Source organism: Homo sapiens, chromosome 12 (assembly GCF_000001405.40).
Source record: "Homo sapiens chromosome 12, GRCh38.p14 Primary Assembly".
In the NCBI taxonomy this organism is placed as follows: Eukaryota; Metazoa; Chordata; class Mammalia; order Primates; family Hominidae; genus Homo; species Homo sapiens.
Window position 1 is genome coordinate 97,262,164 of NC_000012.12, and position 22,701 is coordinate 97,284,864.

General features: G+C 40.6%; 2 long non-coding RNA genes across 2 annotated transcripts, besides 1 other annotated feature; one reads left to right on the plus strand and one right to left on the minus strand.

Annotated features, from left to right (window-relative positions):
- On the minus strand, nt 1–13,161 carry LINC02409 (long intergenic non-protein coding RNA 2409). Its single transcript, NR_183610.1, has 6 exons — nt 12,915–13,161; nt 12,300–12,550; nt 10,529–10,634; nt 8,039–8,117; nt 5,806–5,951; nt 1–1,558 (listed from the first exon to the last, which is right to left on the minus strand). It is a non-coding gene; the product is annotated as a long intergenic non-protein coding RNA 2409 (long non-coding RNA).
- On the plus strand, nt 7,638–9,393 carry LOC105369930 (uncharacterized). The gene is made up of 3 exons (XR_945255.3): nt 7,638–7,942; nt 8,573–8,801; nt 9,287–9,393. It is a non-coding gene; the product is annotated as an uncharacterized LOC105369930 (long non-coding RNA).
- Nucleotides 12,784–13,579: an enhancer, noted in NCBI's record as "H3K4me1 hESC enhancer chr12:97668725-97669520 (GRCh37/hg19 assembly coordinates)". NCBI's record gives its function as "activates a minimal SCP1, AML or CMV promoter by ChIP-STARR-seq in primed H9 embryonic stem cells {active_cell/tissue: H9 hESC(primed)}" and the evidence as "EXISTENCE:reporter gene assay evidence [ECO:0000049][PMID:30033119]".

Consider the following 22,701-nt stretch of genomic DNA (forward strand, 5'->3'; position numbering starts at 1 on the left):
TATTTCTTAAGAATAGCTTTATTGCCAGTCATGGTGGCTCACACCTGTAATCCCAGCACTTTGGGAGGCCGAGGAGGGCGGATCACGAGGTCAGGAGATCGAAACCATCCTGGCTAACACAGTGAAACCCCGTCTCTACTAAAAATACAAAAAATTAGCCAGGCCTGGTGGTGGGTGCCTGTAGTCCCAGCTACTCACGAGGCTGAGGCAGGAGAATGGCGCGAACCCGGGAGGCAGAGCTTGCAGTGAGCCGAGATAGCGCCACTGCAGTCCAGCCTGAGTGAAAGAGCGAGACTCCATCTCAAAAAAAAAAAAAAGCTTTTTTGAAATTAAAGTTATGTTTTTTAATTTTGAAATTATTATTTTTCTGTTGAGGTTGAATTGTTCTTTCTCTATAAAATAATGATGATAGCATACAGTGATTTTTTTTTTTTAGTTTAATGTCCTAGCTTGACAAAATAAACTTTACTGTCTGTGGCAGTATATTCAATCACCTATTCATTCACCTACCTATTTTTGTTTTTGAATTTTCATTTTTCCTGGTTCTTAACATCCACAAGTCTAGCAGCTACTGTTTCACCAAATGAATCATAAATTCTGAAGAGATTTAAAATGTCTACAGGCTCTTTCAACTGCCAAATAAAAACAAAACAAAACAGTGAGCCAATTAGGTAGTAATACAAGATGTAAACCTATAAAAGAGTCAGATTTTTTTTTCTTAATTAGCAATCTCTGTTCACTGGTTTCTCAATTCCTTCAGTCTTCTCTCTTATTAAGTATCTAGCTAATAGATTTTACCAATTAATATGCATCAAATACAATTCTCATACTTAGGCATGAAATGCTCACCATAGTGTTGTATGTAGCTTTAGCAACTCTTACAATATGTGGGCTTTGACAGAGATATCTGACATAGACCTTAAGAAGTGACCAAATTCCAAGCCTATTTTAGATTTTAATCTTTGAATGCTAGGGCCAAGGTTTTAAACAAAGTTACAATGAGTTTTTTTTTTAATGATGGTTGTCTATACTTTTAAACTTCTACCAGATGTCACATAAGACATTTTAAATTTCTCCAGCATTTTTGCATGAGCTTCCATGGTGAGTGAGAGCCCACAATGAACATTTGAATTACAAGGTTAATTCTTTTGACAGTTACATCCTAATGTTAGCTATTGAAAGTCTCATAAAAATACTTCTTTAACATCCTGTGTTTGTTATCCATTGCTGTGTAACAAATAACTACAACGTAGTGGCTGGAGACAATACAAATCATCTCACAGTTTCTTTGGGTCAGAAACTTTGCTGGCTTTGCTAGGTCCTCTGCTTCAGGATCTCTCACAGAGCTGCCATCCAGGCTGTCAGTAAGGGCTGGGTCTCATCTGAAGACTCAACAGGAGAAGGATCTGCTTCCAAGTTCATTTGTTTATTGACAGAACTCCATGTCTTCAGGGCTATGGGACTGAGGGCCTCAGCTCCTAGCTTACTGTTGGCTGAAGGCCACACCAGTATTTTGCCATGTGGGCCTCTTCAAAATGGCCACTCGCTTTCTCAAAGCCTGCAAGGAGAGAAGGCAAAAAAGAGTCAGGAATCAAGACAGAGTTCCAATCATATGCAACATAATGATGGAAGTGACATCCCACCCCAATGCCGTAGTCTGCTGGTTAGAGGCAGATCACCAGTCCTGTCAACATTCAAGGGACTAGGAGTAAACAAAGGCATGGATATCAAAAGGCAGGGATAATTGGGGGCAGCCTTAGAGTCTGTATGCTACACATACCCCTAGACTTTGGGAATTTGAAACCTCAAAGTCAAACTTAGTTCTTCACTTCCATCCCTTCTTAGAGAAAAGAAGCCTTTAAGATCATTTGAGGAAAGGTAGTCTGAAATGGTGAAAGATTGGAATTGTAGAATAGTATAAAGATGTAATTATGCTGCTTATTTTAGAGAATGTCTTAAAACTAATGCAAATAAAATATTATCAAGGAAAGGTCCTATGTGGCTTTCTTTAGTAACTGCATTATATCCATTTATAATCATCATTTTGTTTTCATTCTAGGCAATAATTGAGGAAGCATGTCTTGTGTTTCCAGTACATGATAAATGTGGTAGGGAATGTAAATTAAGATTAAGACAAGGTTTGTTCTCTTAAGAGGTTTATATTTAGAAGCAAGGGTGGCGAGAGAAGTATAAAACATACACAATTGTAACAGGGAACAAAATAAAATTATACAATGAAGTTCTAACTACATTTAATAACACCCTTAACTGGTACAGAAAAGAGAGAGAGAGGGAGCAATGTTGGGTGAAGTTACTAAAAGCCTCAGGGGAAGTAGAACTTGAAAGATGAGTGAGGGTAGGATGAGAAGTGAAAAAGGAAGGAGAATATAAACAAAATAAAAGAAGAGGAAGAGCCTGGAACTCATAGAAAAGACTGAAGAGGCTTCAGTGAAGGGAATGGAGAGCAATAAAAAGTAACATTACAGGCTAGACAGCGCAGTGGCTCGTGCCTGTAATCCCAGCACTTTGGGAGGCCGAGGCAGGCAGATCACTTGAGGTCAGGAGTTCAAAACCAGCCTAGCCAACATGGTGAAACCCTGTCTGTACTAAAAATACAAAAAATTAGCCAGGCGTGGTAGTATGTGTCTGTAGTCCTGGCTACTCGGGAGGCTGATGCAGGAGAATTGCTTGAACCCGGGAGGTGGAGGATGCAGTAAGCTGAGATCACACCACTGCACTCCAGCCTGGGTGACAGAGTGAGACTCTGTCTTGGAAAAAAAAAAAGTAACATTAGATGGATATGGCTTTTGGAGGGTATTGAATGCTGGGCTGAAGATGGTGACTTGATGGGCAATGGAGAACTATTCTCGATTCTTCAGCAAAGGATAAATGTATTTGGGGAAGATCTGTCTGGTGGGTATGTGCATGTTAGATAATAAAAAGAGGGCTTAGAAGAGAGTGGCTTGAGTGACAAAAATCTAGGCTAGGCTGGTACTAGTGGAAATGATACATTGGAAAATATTTATGATGAAGAATCAACAGTGTGGAGAAACTGACTGGATATACTAATAGCAGCAGAGTGTAGGCTCACCCCTTTCTCTCCATTTGAAATGGACAGCAACAAGGTGCCTATTGGTCTAGGTGGGATTCCCATTGATCAGTTGGCTGCACTACCTAGTTGGTATCTCTTGGCTTTAAATATTTAATTCTTGGAATATTTGTTTGTTAATAAAGGCCTCAAAAGTTTAACATCCTCTAAGAGCTGTTGAGATTTTAGGTATTACAAAAGGGGTCAGAAGGGACCTTTATATATCCCTCAAATCAGCCAGATATGTGATCACATGTAGCTGTAACTGTGCCTTCTAAGGTGCTCCACAAGAGCTCCATAATATTTAACAAGTTTTTTGAAAACAAAACAAAAAAACAAAATTGTATGTATGCTGTGAAAAGGTCCATGGTCAAATAAGTTTTGGGTTAAAAATTTAAAAACTCAAGTTCCAATGTTAGTGAACCACCAAGGGGAGTGTGGGAGGAGCTATAATCAAAAGCGTTTTCCAAACTCTTTTACTCTTTTGATGATGAAATCGTGTGTGTGTGTGTGTGTGTGTGTGTGTGTATTATGCATGCACACCATCTTTAGAACTAGCGCCCTCCCCAACACACTTGGGCAAATACCAGTGTTAACAAGTAACACGTTTTCAATAAAGGTCATAGCATATCAGGAACTCATTTTTTTGGCTTGTGGATCATCAGTTTTCTTGTCATAACTTTATTTGGTATTTTATAAAACTGCGTTTCAAAGCTATTTCCTTTTCAGCAGTACCTGTGTCAGACATTGGGCAAGAAAAAAATGAGAAACACAAATCAGCTCTCGTGCTTGATGTTTCTTGTGTTTTAAGAAAAGGGCATAGGAAGGGAATAATCCAAACTAAGGCTTCTACCTGCCTGGGATATCAAGCTGTCCAACTTCCAAAGTATCTTTACTTTCTTCCACCTTCCCATACTCAATGGGCAGACCTGGGATTAAATATTGCTTTGATAATTCTCCACTTGTGGGTTCCTGGATAAGTAACTTAACCTCTCAACTCCTTCTATCTTTCTCTATTTTTTTTCTCTCCATTAATGTATACTTTTCTACTTTGTGAACTTTGCTTTTTAGAAGACAGGTTCCTTAGAAAGAGCAAATAACCCTGTAAGCCCATAATTTGGAATAATTAGCTATTTATAGCCTTACTAAATTTGGATTCCAGATTATGTTATTAGTTCTATGATGCTATCTATGAGAAACCATTATAAGAAGGGGTGGTTGGTAAATAGATTGATGTTAGCCTAAATGGACCTGCTTTAAACATATTTTCATCTGCTTTTGTCATTCAAAATGTACTATTTTGTTTTGCAAGGTCGGTGTCATAGTAAAACATGCTTTTTATGCCTGCATCATGTCATGTTTGTGCTTCATTGCAAGATTTGCAAGGTTTCTAACATGATTTAGGTCATTTAACTTTTTTGTATGTGTCTAGTTACACACACGTACAGAGAGAGAGAGAGAAAGAGACAGAGGAGAAACCACTATTGGTAGAATACCAAAATATTTGTGACTTATGGTTCTAATTTCTGTGCCCTAAGCAAAAACTCAATGAATGCTATATAACAAAATGTATAGCAAAATATTGCTAAAATTAAATTCTCCCTGCAAAACCTACATAATGTGTGTTACCATAGTCATTGGAATTAATTTATTTTCATCATTTGGATGTTCCATAAATCTTTAAAAAAAAAGTAGAGCTCATAAGTTGTGTTCCTATAATAGTTTTTCTTGGCATGTAAGCATTTGGAGGTCATCTACATATATATTGTAGTTAAAACCATGACAAGAATGAAGTGCCCCAAGGAGAGTGTGTACTTGCATGTTGAACATAAGTTCTAGGAATGTAAGTTTTCTGTGACATTCCTAGTTCAAGATTTTTTACTTAGCCAGATTTGTTAATCTCCATGAGAGAGCAAACCTGATACAATGAAATCTGAGCTCAAGAGATGATAGCTTTCATTATCATAATTTATTGAGCACCTTCTATATGAAGGTGATGAGAATGCAACTGAGAACAAAGGCACTAGATACAATAGCACTGGTCTAGGTCAGAGAACAAGACAGGAATGCTGTTTCCTCAAAGACACACACACCAGATTCTTACTCATCTTTAAAATGCTGACTTTCAAGGCATCTAGCTGCCCCAGGAACTAAGGTTGACTCTACAGGGCTATGTCTTGCCATGTTAGAAATTCTTTAATTATAAACCACTGAAAGGACAGTGTACTTTATCCATTTCTTTTTGAGTGCCCTTTCCTCTCCCAGTTCCTCATGATTGTGGAATTAGCTGCTAATGAGAATTAGCTGCCTATTAAAATTCTCTAGTTTAAGGTTTCTCTGTCCATTCCATTCTGAGCCTTTTAATACTGGTTAAGATGCACCTTAACTTTTACATTTCCAACCGATGGAGTTCAAATTCTGTCATTTTATCATACTGCCTGGGTGAAATCTTCACTGACCTCACACCCACCACAGATGGAGCCAGCCACTCTCTCCCCTGTTCTCTGCCTCTATTATACCCCTATCACACAAATGGCATTTCATTGTTTAGATGTTGAACTCACAGAACACAGAAGCTGTACATTAATCATCTCTATGTTGCTATCACCTAGCACAGAGTCTAGATCATAAATATTAGTTGAATTGAACTGAACAGGCACCAAAAAATAACACTGCCACGGATCACAGATAGGAATGCGTTTCTGGTCAGCCTTTACCTTGTCTCCAGGGAACCATATTCACAGCTGGGGAGGAAACCAGGTAAGTGAAGCTGCATTCAAGAAATTCCAGTGAGTGTAGCCATGGCTATTAGAAGAGAGAACATTCTTTTCTTGCTTCTTTTGGTAAACACTTATGAGAAAACCTTAATAGGAAACAATTTCCAAGGGTTCAACAAAGGTAGGACATTTTAAATACATTTAGTGGCTTGTAAATATTTATTTTTAAAGGACATGAAGACAAAAGTGGAATCTGAATGTGTATGCTGAGGAAGAGGAGAATTTGCCATTCTGACAACCTGCTATAGATTATAACAATATTTGAAATATTTTGTTGCTAATTAGCCAATTTGATATTTGGCTGCTGCCTTAGGGATTTTACAATGACCTGTCAACAATTTAACACTAGGCCAATTAGGTAAAGACTTCAGTTTCCTGGAAATGCCTAAGTATGTGATAGAAGGAAACAATGGCATCATACTTAGGTAATTAGAGGTTAACCAATCCCACAGAGGGGATCTGAATAAGCTTCCCAGTGACCGCAGTTCCATGGCTCAGCATGCATTTACATCCTTCCCTATCTTGCTGGGGGTGATGGTGGAAGAAGGAGAGGAGAGGGGAATGGAAGGGGTGGGCTTAGTTCTTTCTGCAAGAAAGAAAGAAGAACTCTTTCTTTCTTCTCCCCCTACCCACTCCCACGGCCACTCATGCTGCCATTCCAAACTGCATGCTGTCCAGTTTCTTCCTTGGCTTCTTAAAAAGTCTACTTGTGCTTGAGTTTAGTAACTTTATCAAAGAGTCAGGGAATGGGATAGGGAATAAATAAAAGGTTCAGTCATAGGGGATGTGTCTTAGTCTGTTCAGAAAACTATAACAAAATGCCATAATCTGGGTTTCTTATAAACAACAAAAACTTATTTCTCACAGCTATGGAGACTGGGAAGTCCAAGAACAAGACACTAATAAATTTAGCATCTGCTAGAGGCTCCTTTCCTAGTTCACAGATGGAGCCTTCTTGCTGCATCCTCAGGTGGTGGCTCTCTGGAACTTCTTTGATAAGGTCACTAATCTCATTCATGAGGGCTCCACCCCCATGATCTAATCACCTACAGAAACCCCATCTCCTAATCCTATCACCTTTGGGGTTAGGATTTCCAAATACAAATTTGGGGGTGACATGAACATTCAGATCATAGCAAAATGTGACTGTCTGCCTTCTTGTTACCACCCCCTACCACTTGTCACCCTCTGTTACATCTCCAGTACCACTAAGTAGTTCCCTTTCCCTCATAAAGAAAAGTTCTATCAACATTCAGAATTCATATCTACTCTAAGGCGGCTCATCAAAGTCTCTTCCCAACAAAGATAAGGGTTTTCTGGAAATGAGTTCTAGAACCAGCAGCTGTATTTTTCCCCATATTGTTATTCCTATAATTTTTTTAAATAAGTTTGTGTTGGTCTACTTTAAAAGTTATACCTTGGATTTTCTTGCACTTGTAGGTGGTTTGGGGTGGGGCTGAGGCAAGGGGAGCCTGGATTACAAAAGTTCTGCAATCAGCATTGCTCTGAGCTCCGTACTACTCATTGAAGTATCTTTTTTTTTTTTTTTTTTTTTTCATATTCTTGACAAACCATTTGTGAGCACCACTGGCTGGTGTGTGTCAGTCAGGGCTCAACCACAGTAGCAGAACCAGTATATATATATATATATATATATATATATATACATACACACATATATATATCTTATATATATTTAATAAATCTCATATATATATTAGGAGATTTATTTTAAGGAATTGGCTCACATGAATGTGGGGGCTGGCTAAGCAATCTGAAATCTGTGAAGCTGAAACTCAACAGGTATGGGCCAAAGCTTTTATCCACAGACAGACTATCTTTTCTTTTTGGGACAAGCTTCAGCCCTGCTTTTTGAGTCTTCCCACTGATTGAATCAGTCCTACCCATAATATACAAACATAAATCCTGAATTTTTTTTAGACTTACCAAATTCAACTGGTTGTGGACTGAATTACATCTGCAAAAGGTCATCACAGAAACAGCTGGATTATCATTTGATTGAGTAACTGGGGGCTATAGCCTAGCCAAGTTAACATATCAAAGTCACTGCAGATGGGTGAGTTGAATAAAATCTTTACCAAAGATGATGCTTAGAATGCATTCCAACAAAAGTTTTAATATTTAATGACAGAAAAGGAAATATTATACATACCTAAAAGCTTCCTCCCTACTGTATTAAACTCTCCACCAAAGGATTTTCTGAAGGAAACACTTGAAGGTATTGATGACAACTGTATAAATAAAAGAGTTATTCTGATTATTATTGAGAGATATAATGCTCATTTTATTTATTACATTTGGAGAGCTCTAAATAAGTTTGTAATTATGGCCTGTAAAAGAAAAAAGTGTTAATTTCCTTTTAAATGGACAACTAAGATTTTTTTATAATATTGAACTCATTAGGCCAAAACATGCATTCATTTTGGGATTATTTAAATGAATTAATTCATTCAACAGATATATAATTGAAACATAGTATACAGAAGACATTGTGCTAGATTCTGGCGATAAAATGGTGAATAAAACCAAGACTGCCCCTCCCTTCAAGAATTTTATGATTTAGTCATGGAAAAAATACATTAATCAAATATTGACACGAAAAAATTATCACAAACTGCGATAATTCGTGATAGTATAGTTGCAATGAGTCTATGTTCAATGATTCTTGATTTTTTCTGTGTGTTAGAAAGCTTACCTGAGGAGCTGGGATTTAAAGAATGAGCAGAAGATACTTGAGTAAAGAAGATGAAGAGATTTCCAGGCAATGAAAGACACTTACCAAGGCCAGGGAGGCTGGAACACAGAAAGTGACAGGGAACGTGGCAAAAGACTATGCTAAAGCAGTTGGCAGGAGCTAGCACTCTGAAAACAACATTAAGAACTCTCTTTGGTCTTTATCCTAAGAGCAACGGAAGGTATTAAAGGATTTTAAGGTTTTGAGCAAAGGAGTGACACAATCAATGGATAGCTGCTAGTAGGACTTTGCAAGATAGTTCTACTTTAGCCACTAAGGCAGGGATAGCAAAAATTCAGCACCCAAGTCAGTGACTCTTTGTGCCTTGTCTGCGGCAGACATCACTAATCAATCATGGTCATTTTTTTTTTTCCCTGACTGAACCAGACTTGACAGTCTCAGAACTTTTCTGACAGCCAATACCTATCTGATCTGGCACTTAAGACAAACTCTGTATCACCACTTTTTTTTTTTTTTTACTTTTCTCAATAAATTACATTGCTTGAAATGCAGTTGCCAGGTAGAATTCAGGACACCCAATTAAATTTTAATTCAAATGAACAAGTATTTTTTTTTAGTATAAGCATATCTCATGTAATATTTGAAACATAAATTAAAAATTATTTGTTGTCTAGGTAAATTCATATTTAACTGGTTATTTTCCAGACCTGGCAACACTAGTTTGGGGAAATTTATTGAACTATCAAAAGTCAAAAAAGCCCACAGCACAGCATCATGATAAAGACGTGTCAGTGTATAAGAAGAACCAAACAACTCACAACAAACAACCTTGATAAAGGTAAAAATAAACTAATAGTAATTTTAAATTCAGAAGGAATAATAGTAGCTATTCAAATCATGACCAACTCGAGAAAATTTCTGATACGATGAAAATAAATTACCCCTCCAGAATTTTGTGGGATGTCCGGTAATCTGCAAGCGCTCATATGCAATAGAAGTTTTTCATCCCTGCCAAGCACCGTGAGGTAGACTTTGTAGAAGAATATTGTATTATATTTCTCAATAAATTCTAGGAGCTTCTTAGTTTTAGTTCGTGAACGCCAAATTTTAGTAACCATTAACAATTGGTTTAGGAATTTACTAGAAAATAAACGTTGGCTGTTTGTATAACCTAAAGCCTACGGATTTATGGATAATTCACCCAAAAGAACCAAAGCAGGGAGTTGCAATTATAGATCAGTCTGAGGGTCATTAAGTGGCCCCATGTAGCCCACACTTTGAAAATTACTCATCCTGGCAGAGATAGTATCTTTTTCCGGCATTTGAATGCTGAACTAGGTGGTAGATATTACAATGTTTTGACGTATAAATTTATGTAAACCTTATGTAACAGAAACAATCATTTAAGCCTTCTAATTTTGTCACCAGGCCTTGGGAAAAATATGGGTTGGTAAAATATTACAAGGCACTTGAACCTATTGGGTCCGAAATATAAAGGCACATTATCTGTTGTATCTCTAATTAATTCTAATATCTCAGTGCCTCGAAGCTGGCTAGAATCAGCATTACCTTTCTTCTGAAAGAATTTATATTACAAGCTTAACTACCATCTTTCTTCATGGGATTTGTCCTGGGTTGACCATATTCATATTATATTCAAGATGGATGTTCTTCTAGCTCCTTTGTGGGCTCGCCCAGATCCTTTTCAATAAGGGTCCTGTAATTAAGGCTGGGAGGTGTGGTTGTTGACTGAGCACTCTGCAGATTGCTCATTAACATGCCATCTGAACAATTTAATCACCTTTTTAATTAATCTAAAATTGGCATGTCCCTTTTCAGGCTACAGTGCAGCTTTTGCAAATGTTGGTCTCTTGGTAGTTCTCAATTTAGCTTATTATTTGAAACCTAAATCTGCCCAGGCTAATAAGCATGACCAATTCCTCTTACCAAAACCATGTAGGAATCTCCATCTGCACTTCACTAAAGGATGAGAGGAACAGATGTCTTTGGGTGGTATTCTTGTTCTTGGCTTTTAAAAGAAGTTCCTCTCAGTCTAGAAATGAAAGAAAATAATTTACAGAGTGACTGAAAGCTTACTTTTTGCTTTCACCTTCTTTTTAAAAAATTATTATTATTTACTTTCAAGTTTGATGCTTTAGAATCTTTATTCTCAATTTGTTGTTCACACTTTGGTGCTAGACATAATTTGAAAAAATTTAATAGTTTTTAATAATTTGATATCGTGTACCTTAGTATTCCTAAAGAAAATGGTATCCTCACGGATTTAAAATCTATTATATTTTGGGCAAGGTTGAGCTTGTACTTATTTATTTACTTATTTAACTTGTAAAGATAGGACTAAGGAACATTTACTCTTTAAAGCTTGAAAAAGATGTGTGCGTGTATGTGTACACGTGTGTGTACGTGAGTGTGTGCGTGTGTGTATATTTCACCTGGCCACAGTCTTCAACACTTGAACAACTTTCCCCAGTACACACAGATTGCCCCTAGTTGTTTCTAGAGACCCAAAAAGGAATGCTTCCCATAGGTCTCCTCTCTGGCCTGTCAGTTGCATTCATTATGCTCTATGCACTTTCTTTTTTTCCACTTTCAGACTTACTTGCTTCTGCCTGAGACAAAAGCTCCCAGCTGCCATTGCTGAGAATCCTAACCATTCATTCTTACAACAAACATTAGTTGAGTACTGATATATGCAGGCACTATGCTAGGAATTCATGAAAATCCAGTGTCTTTGCCTAGCCTGTTATCTCCATACATTTGCCAAAAGGCTTTTCTTGGGGTAGGGTAGTGGAGCTTCAGTCCATACAGGGAGGTAGAATGCCCTCTTTCCAATCTGATGGTCCCCATTGATACCAGAACTTTAAAGCAGGTTGGCACTTGCTGTCACACTCATAAAAATCTCTTAAAAATAGCCCCCACTCCTTGCAAAACAAAGGAAGTTTTGAAATACATGTTTTCCAAGTTATACTCCCTCCATCCAGGGCTCTGAGATTTTAGCATGAGAGTTGCCTCCCTTTAAGCTTTGGGCATCCTCCTGGGCAGCCACCTACGTGAGAAGAAAACTTATCTCAAGAGCATTGCCTGGAAATGGAAGCTTAACCCTGTGATATGGAAGTGGGAGGTCCCATATCAATTAACTTGAATATAAAATATTTTGCATGTGGAAGTGCCAAGTTCTATCAGAGTTTGCCCTGGCCTAGTCACGCACTGTTACATTTCACTTAACAGGATCAGCAATTGAGAAGGTAGCTGTGATGATTTGCTTGGAACCTTCCACCATCTCCCACAGACCTTGAAAAGCAAGTCAGGCGATACCCCAGTGGTATACCCCAATGCAGCACTGGGACCTCCATGTGCTGAAAGAGTGAAATAGCCAACCCAATCCTGGCCCTCTGGTGTTGGCCATTTCACTCTTTCGGCACATGGAGGTCCCAGCCACCATAATGCCCTGGGTTCCTGCTCCCAAGTACAAATGTGGATGCACTTCACAGAAGGTGAATGAAGACCAAGCCCAGCTATTGGTGGACTGGGTGGTGGAGCTTACTGCTACTTAGAAACGGGAGGTTGGAGCCTGATTCCACTTGAACCCTACTGAAGCTTGGATTATCTGTTTTATATTATGTGAGATTATTTTCTTGGTGCTTGAAAACCCTGAAGAAGAAACTGCCACTCTTACAAATATATCAAATGGACTCACAGGCCAACAGATTGCCTGTGTTTCACATCAGCTCCAAGTGAAGAACCACATTTCTTTTAGCCACACTCCACATGCTCATTGCCACTTCCATGCATGTCTCATTAATATGAATGACGGGCTCCATCCCACCATCAGGCTTCTTGTAAAACGTTGCTGTGAAGTGGTTCTCCTTTCCAGTGAATTCCTCTATTCTGTCTGTCAATGGAGAATGAGCCATGTAACTGACAGCAGAAAGTGCTAAAGGGTGTGTTCTGTAAAAAAGATAAATAGAAGAGATCCTTTTGGCATATCTTTTTAATTGGAAGGAAAGGTAGGCTTTTGAGTGACCATATTTGCTAGGTATTTCTAAATATAGCAGCTTTAAAAAGCCAGAGAGGCAACAGGTATATGGAAAAACATATGGGTGTTGAATCTTCAGTACCTAAGATGTGTCCTTGGATGAAATATTTAACCTCTCTAATTCACAGCAGCTCCATCTATAACAATAAGAGCATTGGTATGTTGAAGAATTAATTATGATAAAGTGCATAATTCATAAGAAATATAGTTCTCTTCTTCCTTCATCCTTTAAAGGCTAGAAAGAGAAGGAAAGAAAACCCACTACAAAGGGCTTACCATTGATCTCCATGACTCCTGCACAAGAATTTGTGCATAGAAATGATTTCTAAATTGTGCACGGTGAGAAGATCTGTGCTTTTTCTCCTTCAATCTCTTCCTCACTGCCCCCTCTCAGAAACTTATTGATTAAAGTCTACTTCTTGGCATGGAGGAGGAGACAGGAGGGGCCACACTTGGCAGAATGTCAAGCTGACTTCTGTGCCCCTGTTTTTGTCAGCAGAAGCTCCGCTTGGGCAAGCTCCACTCTGCGGAGTGTTTTTCTGTCATTTTTAAAAGGAGAACAGCAAAGATGCAAATTGCCGAGCCCGCTCCAGGAGACGGGCACACAAAGAGGCAATTCAGGCAGACAAGCGTGCAGGGAGGGCGGGTGGCAGAGGAGCGGGGAGCATGCGGAGGCGGCATGACTCTGGACACTGGCCTGCAGGGAGGGGGGCAGAGGCAGGGCGCATTCTTCAGGTCCTTTCTTCCACTCTTTGTTAGCAGATTTATTGGACTTGTTAAGAACTAAGGAAACCCTGTGAGGCTCGGTGGCCTCTGAGCCTGGGAGGTCGTTCGCAATTCCAGACTCCAGGCATCTTGGGGCTCTTCCCCTCCTAGGATCCCCTGAGAACACTGGAGATGGGCTCCATAGAAATGCAGAGACAAATAACATCTTTGCATAAGGTGGTAGGAATATGACACTGTACATCACACAGGCAGGTGAAAGTCACAGCCTCCTGGTGGCCGAGACAGCCACTCCCCAACCCTGCCATTCCCTCGTCTGTCCCTCCCCACTCCCACCCCAGACTTCTTTTTCAGCTGTTGGTCTCCTCCTGAACGTGGACTGTGCCTCCTGAAAGAAATTCCCACCCAAGCTGCTCGGAGTAAAAACACAATTCTTGTCCTGGCCTGTTTTTCCCCTTCAACTGACCTCAAGTGCATGTCCTCTGGCGGGTGGGTTTTGATTCTGGCAGAGGCAGGGCACTGTGGTGGCTGGAGACCTGGGTCCCAGTCCCAGCCCTAATTGGCATTGTCACTCTGGGATCTCCCTCTCTGGGCCTCAGTTGCCTCTTCTGTAAAATGAGGGGGTTGGGCGAGGGGGGTCTTCAGAGCCCCGTCCTGCTCTTACAGTCTCAAACTCAGTGGCTCTAATTGCCTCATTAGAACACCAGGGAATGCCTTTCTAGTAATTGTCTTCCTGGCTCCTGTCTGACCCACTCCCTACTGGGCGCTGCCTCCAAGGAAACAAAAGCAGCTGCTGTCTCCTCTGGGCTTTCCTCGGCATCCGCGAGCCCTTCTTGACAGCATATGTGCACAGGCATTCTCTGTCTGTCTTCCCTACTTGGTCTGAGGCCTATTTCTGAGGGCCAGGGAGGGCAGGTGGTGCCTCTTTTAAGCCCGACTCCTTTCTTTTCTGATTCTTTTGCTAGCGTAGCTGGCCTGTATCCCAGGTGAGATTAAAGTTTCATTTGTGACTCGCCACCCGACTCCTGGATTTGGTGAGAGTGCTTTACAAGCAACCATGTGTGTTGTGGCTGATCAAAGCGCTCAGAATCCAGGGGAAGGCTGAGATGGCTCCGGAGCAAATGGCAGTGAGTGGATGGAGAAGGTTAATCTCACATAACTGTCTCTGAAGAAATACACATTCAGGGATTCAACAGCTGCCCTTTAGAGATGGCCTCTTTGCTATGAGCCAGGAGATTCCATTTCCTGCATATTAAGAAGCAGGCACAAATAGAGTTGATAATGCAGTTTAAAAATTAGCTAAATGAGCTGTCTCTTATGAAACTCTTAATATGTTTAGGAGTGTGCTGTTCTTCTCAGGAGTCAGGAAACAATTTCTCTGCAGTCATCCAGGCATGCGCAATGCTGGCCAGACAAGAGATCAGACATGTGGAAGGGGCCTGGTAGAAAACTCAGGTCTAGTTAGAAACCAAAGAAATAAAGTCTGGAGGAATCCAGAATATCAGAGGTCTAAACACAGAGACACTGAGTCTAGGGAGACAGCCACAGAGGGAAGGGTCAAGCACAATTGGGGAGGTCTTGGCAGGTGGCAAATAGTGACCAGCAAGGCAGAGACTGTGGCCCCAGCAGACAGGAGACACTATAGTGATCTCTGATCCTGGAGAAGAGCAACTGCTGTCTACCCTTCTCAACTTCCCTGTGGCAGGTGGGTGGTCATGGTTGGTGGGTTTGTATTGAAAGCCAGAGCTTTGTGGGTAATAGCTGCTCCTGATTTATTCAATAGACTTTGTTCAGCCCTGTCATGTGAGGTTGAAGAGCATGGGTTCTGGCATTAGATGGAAGGGTTCAAATCCCACATCTGCCAGTTTACTAGCTGTTACCCTGTTCCTCAGTTTCCTCATCTGGGAATAATAATAGCAACTGCCTCCAATGGTGATTGAGAGGGTTAAAAGTGCCTGGAGTATTCCTAATAGATGGGAAGATTCAATAATTGTCAAATACCATTAATTTATTTGACATTTATTTATTGAGATATGGAATAAGAGCCAGAGGACAGAAAGATTCTTAACATACTTTAGCAGGCCTGAGAATCACCTGGAGGACTTGTTCAAATATGGATTGCTGGGGCCCAGCCCCAGAGTTTCTTATATACTGGATGTGGGATGAGGTCTGTGGAACATACTTTGAGGACCACTGCTGTATATCCTGTACGCAAGACCTGTGCACAAAAGAGGCCATTATTTATTTAACAAACACCTAAGTAGCACGTACCATGTGCCAGACTTTGTACATCTACACAATATATAGTGACAGGAATATTGACTCATTTACTTCTTAGAGCAACCCTCTGAGGCAGTTCCTATTATGCCCACTTGATAGAAGAGAAAACTGAGGCACAGAGAGATAAACAACTTGCCCAAACACTCTCAGGTGGTAAGTGACTGTGTTATAAAAAAAAACTAAGTAAGTGCCACAAGAGATGTAAAGATGCAAACCCTTCGATGGGAAGCACAGAGATTTCAGGGTTTCCAGGCAGTGTCAGTCTCCCGGGGTTTGGATTTGAACAGCTAACCTCTGCACACTGGCTTAGGCCCTAGTCAGAACACCCTGTTGTAGGTTCAGTGAAGGGAGCAGAGACTCTGGAGCCTAAACAGATTAGAGTACCAGTGCTGCCCTGTGTGAGCTGTGTGCCTTAAGCAGGAGGATTCAGCTTTCTGTGCCACATCCTTCAACTAAAAGAAGAAGAAAAAAGATGAAAATAATAACTTTTCACTAAGGGGTTTTGCCAGGAACAAAGTGAGGAAGCTCAGATTAAGTCCTTGAAAGAGAATAGATGCTTATGGAAGGAAGATTAGTCTTTTTCATGTTTTTCTCAACTCACTGGCCCCTCATCTTCTGTGCCATCAATGAAGGCTTTTGGTTGATGGTGATAAGTATTAATTTCACCCAGATTATCTTCTCCTCCACCTGATTTCAGTGTCTCTCTATCAATTTAAAGCATCTTAGGATGTTAGAATTCAAAAATACCTTAGATCATTTATTCCTGTGTATCCAGGTCACCTGGGATAAAAAAAAATTACTATTTTTTTGGCATCCTGTGATAGATTGGATTATTCTTCAAAAATATTCACTCCTTTCTGCTAACTTCCTTGGGAAGAACACACTTCCTCCCTCTAATATTAGCCTAGGCATTGTTTTGGCCAACTGGATGTTAACAGACATAATGTAGTAGAGGCATACAATGAGCTCGTGAATTAAAGCTGGCTCTTTTGCACCTCCGCTGTTGCCATGAGAAGATGTGCCCAATCTAGCATGTTGGTCCCTGCAGTAGGATAAGATACATATGTATTCAAGCTGAGCTACTCCTGCAGAATCCAGCTCTCATCAGACAACTTCCAGCTGACCCCTAGATGTGGTTGAGCCAACCAAGACCAGCAAAGCTATCTGGCCCAGGCAAGGTGAGTGGATGTCTGCAAGTCCACAGACTTCTGACCTAAATACTTGTGGATGTATGTCACTGAGACATTGTGGCTTTCATTAAGGGCTTGATGTTGGCTCCATCCCTAGATATCCTGAGTAACAGGTTGGAAGCCCAGAAATCTGTGTCTCTAAAAGTTCCCCCAGGTGCTTCTAATATTCAGCTAGATTTGGAAACCACTGATCTCATTGAATGCCCTCCTTTTTTAGAGGGAGAATCTTAGCTCCAGAGAATCAAACTGACTTGCCCAAAGTCTACAATACCTGGCAGGGTTAGTATTAGAATCCTTGATTTTTAGATTAGTTCTCTTTCTACTATATCACACTGTTCCCATTAACAAAAATTAACATGGAGGAAGAACTTTTTCATGTTCCCATAACTTAGATACTTTGAGTAGGAGCATTTCAACCCCATACTGACACCAACCCTTTGAAACCCATTGATGAAAGGAAATGCGTGACAGAAAAAGTATATTGACTTTGGTTGTAATTGTATTTACTGTGCCAAACGATTCAGCTCAAGTGAAAATGCCATCACTAGATCATGTGCTTTAGAGGGAATTTAAAGTACAGTATTCTTTTTCAACTTGGGAAAGTTTATGCTATTTCTGGGCAATTATTTCCTGCAGGAATGAAAGTATGTGTTACTCTTTCATCCTCTTCCTCTTGCCGCAGTTTCTCCTCATTAGTGGTCTCCTTCCTCTGGAGCTGCAGTAATACCCTCTAAGTACTGAATCTATTATAGCTGAAGTTCATTTTATAGACCTGACAGAAATACAGATCGGGAAGCTGAAATGTCTATCTCGATTCAGACTCAGATTCAGACTAGTATTTGTTGAGCACCTGCTATGTGCCTAGCTCTATGCAAACTGCTTTCACATACATTATTTTATTAAATGTCCAGGAATTGCAAGGAGTGGGTGGTTATATGCAGACTGTGCGGAAGGAAAAGACAAGAAAAGAGACACCAGTGGCTTGAGGCTGTTATTGCAGACTCCTCTTGTGACATTTCTCTATTTGCCAACACTCTCTTGTTTAATCTCCCCCATCTGTTAAGTAGTGAAAACTCAGCTCTTTCCCATATCAGCCCTCTAGCCTAAACATCACCTTTTCCCACTCTGTTTGCTATCCCAGGGACTACTTAGGTAAATAAAGCCAGACAAGGTGTTAAATATTTCTTGGCTCAACCAGGCAGAAATAGGGACTCTTTCGTAGTCTAAGGCTCTTACTGCTTCCTCTGTGGGTCATTACCCTGTCCTCCCAACTCTTCTTGCTACCTGTTTCTCCCCTGCATAATCTCTCTTACCCAATTCAACTTTAAAAATGCCATACCCCCAGGACCGCAACTCTTGAGGGGAGTCATTCACTGTCCATCCTTTATTAAATTTCCAGACTCCCACCAAACTCCCCCACTGTGCCCTGAACAATGCCTTCCGTCGCTTCTGTCTTATTTTTCTTTCCTGACTGGAACTGTAAACACACACACACACACACGTGTGTGCACACAGCCCCACACACCCACACATGCTATACTAATCTCTGCTTTCATGCCTTTCCTCATGCTTTCTTCCTTACCTCCACATTTAGATGGGTGTGAGCAATAGGGAATGGTGGGGAGCATGACAAACTGGAGATGGCACACGAGGTCTAAAGGGCATGGCCACCTCGAGGCCCTTGTGATTGGACACCGCCATGCCACAGTGTGGTCCAGTCTTGACATATCTTCTGCATTTTTAGATGCTAGAAATCTAGATTTTATATAAACTCTCCAGATTTTTAAGGATGTGGAAGAAAAAACAAAAGCCAATAAAAACTTTGTGCATCAAATAAGACAAATCCTGCTGTGTACCTTTTGCTATTCAAATCCCAAACTTAGAGCCCAGCTTAGGCCTTGTGTCTCCTGAAGCCTTCCTTAATTAACCTGACTGCTGTGCTCTTCCCTAATTCCTCCAAAAAGAGATAGCTGGATGGTTATAAGCACAAGGTCTAGAAGCAGAGCACCTGGAAGCAAAACCACCTACTTGCTGTGTGGCCTTAGGCAAGATAATTAATCTCTCTGAGCTCAATATCCTTATCTCCAAAAGAGTGAATAGCTATAATATCTGTTTCACAGACATGTATTAAAGATTAAAAGGGATTAGGGATATAAAATACTCAGCATGATGTCTGACACATAGTAAGCTCCCCAGTGAAAGTTAGCTATATTTATTTATGTTCTGTAACCATAGGCATCATCACAAAATGGTTAAAAGAGAGGGTTCTAGAGTCTGTATTCCAAGGTTAAAAACCTAGCTTCACCATTTTACAGCTTTTGATTTAGGGCAAGTTATTAACCTGTCTGTGCCTTAGTTATATCATCTGTAAAATGTGGACAGTAAGACCTACTGAGTTATTATGAGGACTAAGTAAATATCTGTAAGTCCTAGAATAGTGTCTGGCACATATTACCTTGTAAGTACTAAAGTAAACAAAATGTATTTGGTTGGTGCAAAAGTTATTGCAGTTTTTGCCTTAAAAATGCTAATTATGACATCATACATTGCTCTGAAATTGCTTCCTGTGTATCAGTTTTGTGTATACCGGTGGCCCATACACTAAAACTTTCAGAGCAAATTTGGCCCTTTGCTTGTTTTCATAAATAAAGTTTTATTGAGACACAGATACACCTATTTATTTAGGTATTGTCTATAGCTGCTTTTGCGCTTCAGTGGTAGAGCAGTGTGACAAAGACTGGCCTGCAAAGCCTAAAAATTTCCTATATGGCCCATAACCGAAAAGGTTTGCTGACCCCTGGTCCATATTACTAGAGTGTGGCTTTTCAGAGGTAGAGATGTGAAATAGTCTGTTTATATTCCTCAAGGTACCTACGAGATGGATGAATAAAAATGAAAATTATAAAATCTTGTAGTTGGTAATAACCTTGAAGTCATTTGGTCAACATTTCTGCCCAAAGCAAGAATATGTTCAGCAGTATCTCTCACAGGTTAATAGGTGTATAGGTTTGCTATTGTCAAACTGGCCAAAACTCAGTGGTTTAAACAATATTCTCATGTGTGAGTTTGGAGGTTGGCTAGGTGGCTCTGGTTCACGCATCTCTTATGCTCTTATTGGGACCTGTGGGCTAATCAAGGCTTTTTCTTCCCATGGAGATGACAGAAATACAAGAGGGCACATCCAGCCATGCAAGCACAATTCAAGCCCAAGCAGAAGTTGCATTATATCTACCAGATTCCAACTGGCCAAAGAAAGTCACATAATTAGGCCCAACTTCAAGAAGCAGGGAAGTAACTATTCACTATGAGGTCATGGCTGAAAGGCAAATGCAGTGTCGGGAAAAGAACTGGGGTCAATTATGCATTCTGCCATGTTAGATCATGGCAGAATGACCTAGTCAATTAGTTCAATCATGGAGGACACCATCTTGGCTTTATTTCTAGCATTTTAGCTGCATCCATGTTTCTTGTAGAGCATAGCAGCATGTTTTCTTGGAGTGTCAGGGACACATCTTAGCTCAAATACTTTTTCTCATCATTTGCTGTACCTGACAGCAACATGTGATAGCTACCATTCATGGAACACCTACTAATTTTCAGGTACTGTACTTGGTGTTTTATATAATATATTGCTTTTAAAGCTTGCAATAAGCCTTCAAGGTAGGTATTATTAATCCTACTTCTACCTGAGAAAAGTGAAAATCAGAGAGGCAAAGTTACTTACCCAAAGTTACACCACTTAAAAGTGACAGAGTCTGAATTCTAAGTCTGTTCAACTCCAAAGCCATCATACCATGTTGTCAATGTCACAGATTGGTGAGGATTTTATAAAGGGAAGGATGGCTGTGTGTGGAATATGGAAAGACAAGCTACAATTTATCAAGGGAAGAGCACTCCAACATCACGTGTTCCCCTCTGTAGTCTCAGAGCTTGAATACCCTACCCTGTGCCCAGTAGATGCTTAATTAAAAGTTCAGACCTCTGAAGGATTACTTCTGTTTTGGAAAATGCCATGCCTCTTGAGTCATTTTCATTCAGCTCAAGTTGCTCTTTTTTTTTTTTTTTTTTTTTTTTTTTTTGAGACAGTCTCACTGTGTCACCCAGGCTGGGGTGCAGTGGTGTGATCTCAGCTCACAGCAACCTCCACCTCCTTGGTTCAAGCGATTCTCCTGCCTTAGCCTCCTGAATAGCTGGGATTACACGTATGCACTGCCACACCCGGTTAATTTTTGTATTTTTAGTAGAGATGGTGTTTCACCATGTTGGCCAGGCTGGTCTCGAACTCCTGGCCTCAAGCGATCTGCCCTCCTCAGCCTCCCAAAATGCTGGGATTACAGGCGTGAGCCACCGTGCCCGGCCGAGTTGCAATTCTGTTCTTTCTAACCTTGTGCCAGTTATCAGTGTATTGTCTGTCAGCTCCAAATTCAGCCTTCTATTCCTCTTTTGACGTCATGGACTGCGGCGCTATTTCTCCTTTTCAGAGAGCATGATGTTAACCTTAGCCAGTAGAGGGCGCTGGAGGGACCCTGCAGGAGGAGGGGGCTTCTGGTTCTGGTGCACATCCTTTTCCTTCTTGATGCTTGCTGATGCATGGCCCATCAGCAGTGGCATGAGGGTGGGAGCAGGGTTTGGGGGTTGGGGGTGCATCTGTAGTTCAGCTCTGTCCCACCCATGTGTGCCCAGAGTGTGCAGTTCATTGGCCACCTTGCAGCCCTGGCCTGGGCCTGGTAACCACCTTGCTGTGGCCCTCCCAATGTAACTTTGTCCTCTTAAGGCTCACGTTGGGATGCCCCACCTACCTCTGTGTGCCTGCCCCCAGCATCAACTCACCTGCTCCCTGGAGGGTTGTGTCCCGCTTACTTCACAACTGTGAGCCAACTCTGGCTCTGGGAACCCAGCAAACTTCTCGACCATTCATGTTCTCTAGTGAGGTCCAATCCTGCAGTGGGTACCCTCCCTCAGCCCTAGAGTACCCTTCAGAGTGCTCCTTACATCTTTGTATTTACTCTCTTATCAGTAGTTTAATAATTTTTATATTAAACTTTCTCTGTTTAAATTACCGTGCAATTACTGTCTCTTAATTAAACCCAGGCTGTTACATACCTTGAGTCTAAACTTCCTCTTTGGTAACTCAGATATTCTGGTTATGTTGTTTTCTCTAGATCTATATACACTATATTTGTTTCCTTTCCTATTAACATGCTATTTGGTGCTTAAGAAGTACTTATTGAGATGACTTGAGATCACATACAGACTGGATAGATGTGTTTGCAAAGCCTTTTTATTTGAAGAGATTATGTGGGTTGTGAACTAGACTGTTGCTTCTCAACATGCAATATGTGCTAAAGGATCCTTTTTAAAATCTAATTTCTAAATTTGTCATAACCAATGGCTTTGTAATCATAATAAAGTGCTAGAAAATGGAATTTTAAAATGACATAGAACAGCAGCTCATTTCTTTTAGTATTAGACTCCACAAACATGTAATTACTCTATCAAACTGCTATAAAAGTTCCTAAATGTTTACCCTCAGTTTCGGTACTTGTGTTGCCGTGGGCTGGTAACACAGTCTGTGGACCACACTTTCAATAGCACTCATCAGGGCTGTTCCACCAATGCCAGGAGTCACACTGTATTCTACTCCCTGATTCTCACATCTAATCCTCTTGTTGCACCTTGCTTGCCTATGAAGGGGTTGCTTTACAACTTCAGGGAGACAGTGACAGGAGTCTCATCCATCCTCCAGTCTGTCCATGCACCTTCTCCATCCAGCACATGCTCCTACTCAGCATTACTTCCATGAGTCCGTCCTAACCTATTGTAATGTGGGTTTCTTTCTCATACCCACAGTCCCTCTTCCATAGATCAGA